This window comes from Homo sapiens, chromosome 6 (assembly GCF_000001405.40).
Source record: "Homo sapiens chromosome 6, GRCh38.p14 Primary Assembly".
Lineage (NCBI taxonomy): Eukaryota > Metazoa > Chordata > Mammalia > Primates > Hominidae > Homo > Homo sapiens.
This window is the reverse complement of record NC_000006.12, coordinates 111,687,588-111,700,413: the sequence shown is the minus strand read 5'-3', so window position 1 is coordinate 111,700,413 and position 12,826 is coordinate 111,687,588. Positions and strand designations below refer to the sequence as shown.

Sequence of the window (12,826 nt, the reverse complement as noted above, 5' to 3'; positions counted from 1 at the left end):
CCACGATGTGTGTGGTCGTCTGCTGGTGTAGTAGCACTGTTTGAGGAGCACTGTGCGCCGCTAGTGTGGGTTTACACTTATGAGTGTTGTCATTACATGTGTTCTGCTCTTCTCTCCCTCTCCTGCCCCTGCCCTGCTCCATCAGAGAGAGCTGCAGGTCTCTGCTGCCGCCTAGTAGTTCCCTGTCACAAAGGGATGCCAAGGCTTACCGATCTGTCTGTCAAAACCAAAGATGTCTGGGAAATCCCTCGAGAATCCCTGCAGTTGATCAAGAGACTGGGAAATGGGCAGTTTGGGGAAGTATGGATGGGTATGCTGAGACTCAATTACTCTCTTATTAGCTTCCCCGTTTGGAAGATCCCAAACACCAAAGATGGAAGGTGAAAATAAAGACTGCGTGACCGGGAAGAAAGTTTGAATTACTAATAGTGGGGAATAATAATTTCAGTTTTGGTTTTAACATTCTGGAATTCCTAAAAAAAAAAAAAAAAAAAAAAAAAGATAGTAAGTGGGCAAAATTGGCAAATGGCTCAAGTTGTACTATTACATGACTCTCAATTCATAAACCAGCAAATGGTCCAAGGAATGTTCCAGCTGCCATAAAATATCTTGCTCTTCATTTCCAAAAGCAAATATTTGTTGAGTGTCATCCTAACGGGCAAGTCACCTTCCATCTTTCCTAGTGCATGCATAATTATGGATTATAAGGACTGTGTTTTCTTTATTAATTCCCTTTCCTGTAGAGAAAGCTGATGGTTTGTGTTTTAACTTAACTGTGATTGCATCGAGTTGTACCCCACAAACTTCTGGATTGGCTAAAGATGCTTGGGAAGTTGCACGTCGTTCGTTGTGTCTGGAGAAGAAGCTGGGTCAGGGGTGTTTCGCTGAAGTGTGGCTTGGTAAGGCAGAGGGCACATTTTGTTTTGGCTGCATCTCAAAGCCGATTAAAAGGATGGTTTTGAACAAAAATGCACACACAGCCGTTGGGACAAAGACACTTAACCTGGATAACTAGACGGGCACAGGCCATCCAGATTTTCAGAATATGCTGATACCTTGCTGTGCTCATCTGTCCTACTTCATGTGGTTAATTAAGGCACCCGCAGAACAGGAAACCAGTACACTATGAATCTGGTGTTTCCTCTTCCTAAGAAATGGGAAGGTAAGATACTGTATATGGGCAGCCATAAGAAAGACCATGGACGTTTTGCTCAATGGGCCTGGGTTTGAATCCTTACTAGCTAATTAACCACGAACAAGGGGCATATTTAACTCCTTTAAGCCTCAGTTTTTTCATCTGTAAAATTGGAATGATACCTTTTTGTTGTTGTTGAGACGGAGTCTTGCTCTATCACTAGGCTGGAGTGCAATGGCGCGATATTGGCTCACTGCAACCTCCACCTCCCAGGTTCGAGTGATTCTCCTGCCTCAGCCTCCCGAGTAGCTGGGATTACAGGTGCCTGCCACCACGCCCAGCTAATTTTTGTATTTTTAGTAGAGACGGAGTTTCACCATGTTGGCCAGAATGGTCTCGATCTCCTGACCTGGTGGTCTGCCAGCTTCATCCTCCCAAAGTGCTGGGATTACAGGCGTGAGCCACCACGCCCGGCTGGAATGATACTTATTTAAAGGATTATTTTTAGGATTACATGGGTTAATATGTTTAAAGTCCCTTGCAGATAGTAGATATTCAGTAGAGATACATACTTCTCTTTATTTGATTGTCATTGATAAGGCTGGCTGCACTGGGCCTTTGTAATTTCTTTTATAGCCCTTTTGGGTCAGTTACAGCTTTGCTTAGAAACAATTCATGGGTTTAGGCCCCACTCAAAAACATGTTTCAGTAAAACAATATTAATACTTATGGAATCCTCTATCTTCCTTCCTCAGAACTCATTAAAAACAATATCGATCAGTACCCTTTGCTACGTGTGGGTATAGATCTTTAGGTGTGGTCTGCATTAAAAGAGTTAATACAGGTGGCCGGGCACAGTGGCTCACACCTGTAATCCCAGCACTTTGGGAGGCCAAGGCAGGCAGATCACCTGAGGTCAGGAGTTTGAGACCAGCCTGACCAGCATGGAGAAACCCTGCCTCTACTAAAAATACAAAATTAGCCGGGCATGGTGGTGCATGCCTGTAATCCCAGCTACTCAGGAGGCTGAGGCAGGAGAATCACTTGAACCTGGGAGGTGGAGGTTGCGGTGAGCGGAGATCGCACCATTGCACCATTGCACTCCAGCCTGGGCAACAAAAGCGAAACTCCGTCTCAAGAAAAGAAAAAAAAAGAGTTAATACAGTTAAAGCACTTAAAACATAGCCCAGCAAATGATAAGTACTACAAAGATGTATGTAGGTATGTTAGGTGGATAAATAGGTAGTAGACAGACATACACATATATATGTATGAGTTAGCTAGTTTAATAAATCCACATTATTGTGTCCATCTCTCTCTGGACTTAATCTCAAGTATCGTAAAATATATGACCTCCTTCTTCCTCATTCACCCTCTAATAATAGAGGATTTTAGTCAAATTACTCACACAATCACAGAGAATTGGACCCTATTAGAAAATTTATTTTCAAATTTTACAAATATCAACTTTAAATCATTACATATACTGTTCACATTTTGTTTTCCAATAAACACAAGACAACATGCCCATCAGAATTGGGATGGATGTCTGTGTAATTGACGAAGTTTGTATTACAGAGGAAGATCTTAATGTATTTAGAATTTTGGGTGCTGACTCTTAAATAGCAAAGATCACTTATAAATTGTCAAATTTCCCATGAATGCTTAGTGGGCAGATATTTTATGAAGTTTAAATGAACTTTTCTTTAAGCCACTTGTTTTTTCATAATTTATATTTTGTAGGTTGCATGTTGTAATTGTATGAACCATGTCTTTAACAGGATAATAAGAACTCCAATTTACAGAATCCTTAAATTCCAAAGTCAGTTATATTAAATATAAAAATCTTAATTTAAACCAGTCTTCTTTTTCAAATAGAAAATAATCTAAATTAGCAGATTTCTTCCCCTTTATAAAGTTATTCTTAAGCATCATAGGTCTAATAATGGAATACACAAAGAACCTAGGTATGGTTTTGTTTTTTGAATGCTGGGGCTGAAAGAGACCCAAAAGATAATCCAGTTCCATTCCTATATTTTACAGATGAGGTAACTGAGGACAATCATAATCCAGGCCTTGCCTTCAGATTTGCTAGATTTTTTTTTAACATGCTAAATTTAAATATTTCTGTTCCCTCTCAGCTGCTGTTTAATTTCCCCTGTCTACCTACCTGACAGAAGCCATTGTTCTTGTGGCTAGCCATCAGTAAAGCTGAGGAAATTTGCCTTACCTTGTTGAAGTATTGGCAAGCAGACTGTGAGCTCCTTGCCAGTGCTTATCAGCATGCTTGGCACACCTGTGCAAGGACTCAGTCAAGTAACTTGTCCATTGCAGACATTGAAAGTCTAGAGGTAATTTCCAGACATCCTCATGTGGTGCCATATTTTTAAATGGCACACCCCATAAACTTAAATAATCTAATTTCTTCCATGCACACTGTACTCCCTAAGGGACAGCTATTAGATGGCCAGGCCTGTTCCAACCCCTGGACTTTCATCACTGTATGGTGCAGAGCTTTTGGTATAAATGTGTAATCATATGACTGAGCCAAAAAAAGAGAGAGTGGTAATATATCAAAATTTAAAAAAATTTTAATGAGTTATAAATCTTAATATAGCCATCTTAGCCATAACCACAAATAAACTCATTTTTTCTGTTAAAATACTTGACAGAGTCCTTGCAATTGAATGTCTTTGTTCAACAAAAACTGTATTAAGTGTTTTAAATTTAAAATCTAATCTTATGCAAATAGCTGGTGGTCAAAACCTTTTTCCATCAAAAGAAGATCTTTGGTTTGACTTCATATTCTGGGATGTTTGTAGGTACCTGGAATGGAAACACAAAAGTAGCCATAAAGACTCTTAAACCAGGCACAATGTCCCCCGAATCATTCCTTGAGGAAGCGCAGATCATGAAGAAGCTGAAGCACGACAAGCTGGTCCAGCTCTATGCAGTGGTGTCTGAGGAGCCCATCTACATCGTCACCGAGTATATGAACAAAGGTTGGGCAACACCTCTCCTGTCTCCAGCTCACAGTGCCTTAAGGGGTTGTTTAGGGGAGAGAAATGGAAGTTTCCTACTTGCTACTTTTCTAGTTTCTGCCTGGGTCAAGTATTCCCATTAGGAACCACCAGTTATGTGCTCGTTAATGAAAACATTTTTTAAAACAGACTAACCTTGCGTTTACCCCACCCCAAATCCTTATGAAATGCCAAATACTTTTTACATGTTATGTGTGTCAGAAATTCAAGCTCCTCTCCATAATTAAAACATTCATTTTTAATATCAGGGTGGTACGGAGGGTTATGATAGTTTGCTGTTATTTTGAATGTAGTAGCTTTTGTTACATTTCCTTTTTGCAGGGCTAAACAATTAATATCAGACACTGGTCTCTAAGCTAAGTTTAGTCTCCATCATTTCAACATCTTTTTTATTTCCAGCTCTCTTCTTAAACGTCAGGCGATGAAATTACATGCTTTCAGAGACCACATTTATTCTCACATTCTCTCCCCTACAACCCCTCTGTCTTCCTAATCAAACCAGCATTGTTAGGGATAAGGCCAGAGATCATTTTGTTTTGGAAAAATAGATGAACCAAACAAGAAACAGCCTTAAAAGGCAATACATTGTTTATCAGAGGATACCAGTGTAATTTTTCTTTTCCATGTACTTTCTTTTAAAATTTAATGGGAATTTTTTTTTCTGGCAAACGGTTTGTCCTTTGTATCCAGGGTTATTTTGTAAATAACTTTGTGATTAAAGCATAAAATATCACTGATGACCATCATAAGCCTCCAGCTTCTGCAAATGATTATCCCTGCTTTGGTGTTAGTTCTAAGCCTTCTTAGGCTGTGTTATAATAGTGGCTCTGAAGCTTCCAATGTTTCATTTCAGATGTCTGATTTAAGGCTTGGCTGGCTGTGATCTAATTAAGGGGAACCATCTGCCCCACCCATATTCTTCAGATTGTCTTTTCTTGATTCAAAATCTGTAAATAAGCTAAGCTAGTGAGTCTCAAACTTTACCTTGTATTATTAGAATCACCTGTAGGCCTTCTTAAAACCCAAGTTTCTGGACCCAACCTTCAAAGTTTCTGATTTACTCGATCTGGGATGGGACCTGAGAATTTGCATATCTAACAAGTTCCCTTGTGTTATTGTAGCTGCTGGTCCCAGGACCACAGTTTTGGACCACTCAGCTGGGCTGTATTTTCCCCACATCAATTCTTTGTGCAGGGGTGATTGGGGAATGGGATTGAAGAGGTGCAGTTCTTCATAGGTTCCTCTTTATGACATACAGGGAGATTGAGTCCCATTTCTTCTAGTTTTATCAAATATATGTTGTTATTCCTAGAAATGGAATTAATGCTGTTTGTTTTTAAAAGGTAACTGTTACTTCTCCATGCCTATACTTTTTTCTACCCTGCTTTTTTATATAAACCTTTTTGTCCCCCCATGTGGATGGCATTATTCCATTTGACTACCTTATTACTTTTAATAAGAAAACCAAATACAGCTCTCTGTTGGGAATTATCTTTCAAAGTAAATTGAAATGATTTTATGTTTTGTTCATAGGAAGTTTACTGGATTTCTTAAAAGATGGAGAAGGAAGAGCTCTGAAATTACCAAATCTTGTGGACATGGCAGCACAGGTAGGCCCTGCAGGGTAACTTGATGTGCCATAGATTTAATGACGTGTCTAAGTACATTGGGTCGTGGTGTAACATGTCCTGTTCCCTGGGTTTCCACAGGTGGCTGCAGGAATGGCTTACATCGAGCGCATGAATTATATCCATAGAGATCTGCGATCAGCAAACATTCTAGTGGGGAATGGACTCATATGCAAGATTGCTGACTTCGGATTGGCCCGATTGATAGAAGACAATGAGTACACAGCAAGACAAGGTGGGCACTTGAATGACAATGGCTCGTGATCACAGCTGTGAGAACAGTCACTTACTGCACAGCCCTTCCTTCCTCCTTCCCTTCCCTTCCTTCAGAAAATACTTGAAATGTCATTCTTCAGCTTGGTTTGGACACCTTGATCTGGCAGGAATTTGACAGCTCTGCAGGTGGGAGACTGTTGTGGGCCCAGTGGAGGGATGAGATATTGGTTTTTGGTGGGTGGGTGGGTATTGGTATTTGCTGCTGTGGTCCTCTTGGCTCATGCTGGTCTCCTCACAGCGTCCAGGCCTAGAATACTCTGTTTTTGGAGAAAGAGACCACATTTATTCTCACATTCTCACATGCCTGTGTTTTTTACAAAGGCACAGGCAGGGTTTCAGAAAGCCAACAGGGCATGGTGCAGTGTCTCAGAGCTTGTAACAGCAACAGAACTAAGGCCTCAAAGGTAAGGGGGCAGAGAAGTGGGCACAAGAAGTCAGAATGGGCCACTGCACAGAGAGGGCCTCCTCAGTAAAGAGAGACGTCAGGGATGGATCTGGGGATTCACACCCAACCCCACTCTAGCCCACTTCTGGGTCTTCTGCCAGACCCAACCAGAAGTAGAGGTCACAGGAGCTCAGCGATGAATCCTTATGGGTCCAGAGCAGGGAGAGGGAGAGTGGAGAGTGGACTTACACTACAGATGGTAACAGCATAGTTACTCGAAAATCTCTACCTCCTTTCATCATCCCCGCCATCCCACCCTCTGCAAAAATTTATAGAAATTAGCCTTTAAGTAAAATATATCCCAACTCAGCAGCCATTCCAGTGGGGCAGCTTTTCAGGTGCTATTAGAGCACCAGATACTAGAAAGGAGTTTTTAGGAATATTTTCCTTCTTCCCAGATACTGACAAAGTGGTCACCAGGTAAAAGTGTGTGATTAAGTATGTGGTTTGCAATCGAGTATAGGCTCCTCATGTAGAATATAATGTTTATAGCTGGGGCAAGGGGGAACTTTCATTGTTGGTGTTTCTAACCAAAGCCTAGTCATCCCAAGCAAAGCGGAGCAGTGACTGGAATGTATTACAGGGTGATGCTTTCTACTGCATTTCATAATGGCCAGCTCTGGAGTCCTTTTCTTTCTCTTTTTCCTTCTCCTTCTCTTGCCCCTGTTCCTCCTCCTCTTGATTCTTTCATTTCATGCCAATTATCCTCTCCCTTCATTTGATCTGAGAATGGAAGCATTCTTAGCAGCCTCAAGTGATGAGGAAAAATGTTAAACTAAGACCCTGGCTGCTACCGATACTGTCCAAATGCTGAATTACATGTCGGTCAGACAGCTCAGCTATTTGAATTTCCCCAACACGTGGCAGTTCTTGTCCTGGAGCCAAATGCCCACACAGCAAGCATACCCGTGCGTTACACACACACATACACCCCCGGTGCTGGGCCAGATGGCATGCTGTATCTCTAATCAAAGGCGCACTGCAGCTTTGATTGGCACTGGCCGTCCAGAGAGGAATGTGCATGTGAATTTGAGGCAAGGTGAGCCGAGAGGACCTGAGTGCCAGTGGATCTGAGACTTGCCCTGAATGAGGGACTTTATCCTGAGGCAAGTCTGTCAGATCCCAGCTCCTCAGACTCAGAAGGAGAGTGGGCAAAGGTTGTGAGACATGAATATTTGATTAAGGAAAGGGCTAGAATAGAGCCGTGTGCTCACCCTTCTGTGTGTGAGTCGAGTTTTTCCCCTTTTCCTGGACTTTGAACTCTACAGGGTTTGTGGTTAACGCTCATGAACCATGGGTAAATGAAAAGGTTGCCAGGCCAGGAGCCAGAGGATGCTGGCAGGGGTGCTGTTAATAGGGCCTGGGGGTTTAGTCCACGCCTTATTCACTGGAGTGAGGCTCCTCAGGCTGTGGCCCTAGGTGATTGGCACCCTCGCTGGTTCCCCTCCCATCAGGCTGCTGCCCTGAGCGGGTCCCAGGCTGCTGCCCTCAGCCTGGCCCCCAGCCGTTCCTCTGCATTAGCTGTCCTGATTGCCCTTCTGCCGGCTGCCCAGCTGCACCATCATGTCCCCAGGTGCCGTCAGAGCCCCTTTCAAAAGGCCAACCTTGTTCTTTTAGCCTTTGTACTGCGTTTCCTTACTTAATTTCCAAATCGAGGGTCCCGTCCTTCCTTCTTCAAACATTTTTCTTCTTTCCTCCCTTTCCCAAACACCTTCAAATCCATGCCAAACACTAGAAAGAGAGAAGTAAGAAGTAAGTGAACTGGAGAGCTGAACTGGGGGGGGGGGAAATGAAGCTTGGCAAGGCAGGTCCCAGGATGTCCCAGGAGAATAAAAGACATGCTGTCCTGCAGCAGAGGGGTAGGGAGTGGCAGAGCCATTTATAAAACACCTTCCAAGTGCCAGGCCTGAGAGGAAACGTGAGGACCAAGCAGGGAAACAATAGGAATAGACTCAGAGGGGTTAAGTAACTTGTACAAAGTCACACAGCTAGGAAAATAGCAGAGCCAGGATTTGAATCCAGAAATGGCTGACCCTGTTGCATCTACCATTCTAAGCTATGCTGACCACATCTCATCAAGTCAGTGATCAAAAGAACAGAAAATAAAGATAGAGAGGATTAGTCATACATCCCTTTTCCCCTTTATTTTATGGGACTGTTTTTAAGGAGCACCTTCTAGTGTGTCTGTATGAGGGAGTTGGAGAGACCTTCCTTTTCCAGCACTGGGACAACCCAGCTGTTTATAAAATTCCTCCCGAGGGCCTGCCCTGCCCTGGCTGCTTTACGAGGCAGAAAGGGCCTGGTGTGTGTCTGCTGGTGTACTCTGCAGATGGCATGTGTGCTGTGTGCTGAAGTTTCTGCTGGGAATTAATCAGCTCCTCCAGACAGCTGGTCCGCATGCCTAATAATATTTGCAAGTCGGGTTTTATGTTACCCACAGGCCACAGCCATGCTGCATCTTGATTATGGGAATGCAGGCGGCATTCGGAAACATGCACCAAACACAGATATTTTAGGACCATGAATGACAATTGTTTTCAAAACAGTTGTGAGTTTCCCATCTCAGCGTGCACGGAAATATCTGTCACCCCTTGGGCAGATGAGGTGGCATTGCATAGGGCACAAGCAGAATTGGAGTGTGGAGCTGGGTTCCACAGTCCTTCCTGTGCTCCTTACTTCGCACCATCCCAGCTACCCAGGACTGAGCAGCAGCCCATGTCAGGGAGGTGGTCAAGGCCAGGCCCTGAGCCTGTGAGGTGGTCTTCCACTGACAGCACTCTAGAAGCAACTAGAAATTTGGGGCGATTGCTTATTCTCTATTCCCTGGACATCTCACTCAATTACAGCAGATAGTTCGTCTTTAGTTACAAACACTTTGCTAAATTCTGCCCAATCAGAGTCTCTAAATAATGCCAACATCAGTTATTTGAGTGCCTTATCTATGAAAGGACTTTACTAGGAGCTACTGATATCAAGAAGCCTAAGACTGCACGACAGTCAGCAAGCATGAGGAGGAAGACGTGGGGGATTGTTGAAGTCAGATGGAACTGGTTTTGAAATCCAGCGCTACCACCTGATGTTCTGGGGTCTTAGGCAAGTTATTTAACTTTTGCCTACCTCAGTTTACTTATCTGTAAAATGGAAAGACATTTTGTCTGCTGTATGCATTTTTGCAAAGATTAAGTGAAACAATGCATGTAAAGTGTTTAACAGGGTACCCAGCACATAGTGATAAATGTTGCTTGTTACTGTTGGTATATCTGGTACAATACTAAGTTCTTGGGGAATAAACAAATGAGTGAATGGATTGTAGATACATGGAAAGTCTCAAACACTATTCAGGAAAGGGAGAGAAGAATCAAAGATAATTCCCAAGTAGTCAGATGCAGGTGATTGTGAGAATGGCATTACCAATAACAGAAATGAGTACTTGGGAAGATCTTACTTTCAGAGAAAGAGGATGCATTTGGGTTTGGATCTGTTGAGCTTGAGGTGGTGGTCTTGGTCCTCCAAGCCCAGAAAGATGAGTCGGGGTGCCCTCACTGGGTCTCACTGCCACAGCTGGGCCCTCAGCCTTCCAGCCCTCCCCTGAGTTCTGGTCACAGCCACCTCCCTACCCCACCACTGCACCTTCTTCCCAGAATCATTCCAGAACTCACCACAGGCACCACAAGGATCTGCTGTCCATCTTCTTGTCCATACCACACCTGTCTCCTGTGACCCCCGACATAGGCAATGTCACAAGCCTTGCTTCTGGAAATTCACAGCCCCTCCAGCCCTCACTTCCTTCAGAGATTGCACAAGCAGGAGAGAAGCAGTGGGAAAATCCTCTGCAGACTCTAGTTTTTTCTTCATGAGCTTTCAGTGCCGACTAATGTTGATTTAAACCTAACAAGTTCAGACAGACATGGCTGTGTGTAAGCATAACTTCCTTTTGTGGATACCTTTTTGTTCTTTATGAGCTATAACACACATACAGTAAAACGAACAAATCTGAAGTGTGCAGCCCGATGAATTTTTATGTACATATATGCCCCTGAATCCACCCCGAAGATAAAGATACAGAATACCTCCAGCACTCCAGAAGACCCCTTATTCCCACTCCCAGTCAGTAACCACCCCCACAAATAGCCTTTTTTCCCCTTTTCACCATAGATTGGTAAGTTTTGCCTGTAAATGAACATCACAGACATGAATCCTATAGTATTACTCTTGTGTCTGGCTTCTTTCCCATTATGTCTGTGAGATTCTTCCATATTGCTGCATGGAACAGTAGTTCTTTTCATGGCTGAGTAGTATTCCACTGTACAAATATATCACAGAGCCTCCATTCTACTGTTCCTGAACATTTGGGGTTATTTCCAAATTGGGGCCATTATAAATACGGCTGCTGTGGTGATACACACATGCCCTCATCTCTCTGGGCTGTGTTCTCCAGTGGAATTGGTAATTACAGGGCAAACCTAGGTTAGCAATTGCAGTTACTGCCTAACAGATTTTGTGGACATATTTTTAAAAAGGTGAATACACACTTAGTGTGTCATTTGCCAGTACTGTACTTGCCTCTAAGCTGCTAGTGAGGCAGCCTAGTGAGACTGAGGAACCAGGGGTTGGACATTAGGATCCCTGGCTTTGAATCAGCTCTGTCACTTACAAGCTTGGTGTCCGCAGGCCAGTTACTTAAGCTCTTTGAGCCTCATTTTTATCATCTGTAAAATGGTGATAATAAAAATGATCACCTCACATCATTAGTGTGAAACTTACATGGGCTATCTATAAAAGTTCTTTGAGAGTTGTGAAATGTAAAAATCATCCTTATCACCTCAACTTTTTGTATTTGACATACATTTTCCTTGAAAACAGTCTAAAAAGTTTTTAAAGAGAATCACTATTAGTAATAAATAGGGAAAAAATCAATCTTTCAAGAAAAAAAATACTGTCTCCCTATTTTATAGCCTAGGCCAGTCAGTGGATCTGGGCAGTCACCACTTTGATATACCTGCATGCTCCAAGGGCCCCCTCACCCCGGACACAGCGGGGAGTCACACATCCACTGTCCTCATCTCCGGCCAGCTTGCCTATTTTCTCATATTTGCATTCTCTGTTGAGAACTATCCCTGCCTCTGCGCTGCCTCTCTTGTTTTTAATCTTGTGAAGTCTGAATATCAGATGGGCCTTCTCAGCATTTTCACTGAGGCATGTGCATACACACATCAACATGAGCACACATGAGCACACACACGCTGCATGAGCACACACACGCTGCGTGGGCACGGCTGGAGCAGTTCTCCCGAGTATCTGTGGAGTCGGTCTTACTGCTTCTCTATAGAAGTGATTTAGTTTAAAGACTAGCAGCGGGCCCTTGTAGACACAGAGCACATAGTAGTATTTAATAAATATTTGTTTACAGCAATGGAAATAACCAAGGTCACCAACCCCCCCACACTCTTGTGAGACATGCTCTCCTGCTGTCTCTCATCAATGTGCATGGCTCTCTCTGGGAATCAAATGCTGTTGTGGCTGCAGGAACCTCCAGAAAGGGTTGTTTATTGCATTGATATTCCTTGCACACTCCAAGATTGTCTTTGGAGTGATGGGAAGCACAAGAGCTTTGGAGCTAGATAAGCCTGTGTTCACATCCTGACGCCGTATTCCTAGAGCATAAGTTCTGGCCCCTCTGAGCCTCACCTTTCTCATCATAAAATAGGATTGGTGTTGGTTACCTTTAAGGTGGTTGTAAGAATTCAAGAAGACAATTAGTAGAAGTTGTTGGTATTATTCACTTCTTCCAGCTCCTCCCCACAACACTTTGGAGTTTTTTTGTTCTGTTTTATTTTGGTTTGTTTTTTGTTTTTTGGGTTTTTTTTGGATAGCTTGACCTCTTTTCTTCTTCCCACATACACCTCAGTCCCCTCCCAAAGAGGGCAGGGCCTGGACTGGTTAAGAGCATGACCCATGAGATCAAAGTGTCTTGGTATAAATCCTAGCATTGCTGCCAATTCACTGTGAGACCTTGAACAAGTTGCTTAACCTGTCTGAGCTTTTATTTCTTCCTCTTAAAATAGGGATAATAATAGTTATCTATATCATAGAATTGTATGGCTTCCCTGTGAATAACCATAAAGCAGTTGGCACAAAGCCAACACTGAGCTGATAGTGGTAGTTGGCAGTAGTAGTAATAGTAATATTATTATAATATTGATCCAATGGATGCCAATAGCTGTGTTTCTCTCTCTCTCTCTCTCTGACACACACATACACACACACACACACACACACACACCCACCCACCCCACTTTGG

General features: G+C 43.0%; 1 protein-coding gene and 1 long non-coding RNA gene across 22 annotated transcripts in view; one reads left to right on the top strand and one right to left on the bottom strand.

The window, feature by feature from the left end:
- The window catches only part of FYN (FYN proto-oncogene, Src family tyrosine kinase), a 213,121-nt gene that overhangs the window by 173,039 nt on the left and 27,256 nt on the right, over positions 1–12,826 (top strand). For 13 of the 21 annotated variants that reach the window (XM_047418561.1, NM_002037.5, XM_017010651.2 and 10 more), the window contains 4 exons: positions 146–310; positions 3,958–4,137; positions 5,710–5,786; positions 5,886–6,039. In XM_047418561.1, coding sequence (XP_047274517.1) covers positions 146–310; positions 3,958–4,137; positions 5,710–5,786; positions 5,886–6,039 — 576 coding nt within the window. Of the gene's footprint in view, positions 1–145; positions 311–743; positions 900–3,957; positions 4,138–5,709; positions 5,787–5,885; positions 6,040–12,826 lie in introns of all 21 variants that reach the window. The other 8 variants (XM_047418569.1, NM_153047.4, XM_047418570.1 and 5 more) reach the window with 2 other exon arrangements.
- Positions 6,039–10,561, bottom strand: LOC105377945 (uncharacterized). Its single transcript, XR_001743812.2, has 3 exons — positions 10,185–10,561; positions 8,165–8,256; positions 6,039–6,337 (listed from the first exon to the last, which is right to left on the bottom strand). It is a non-coding gene; the product is annotated as an uncharacterized LOC105377945 (long non-coding RNA).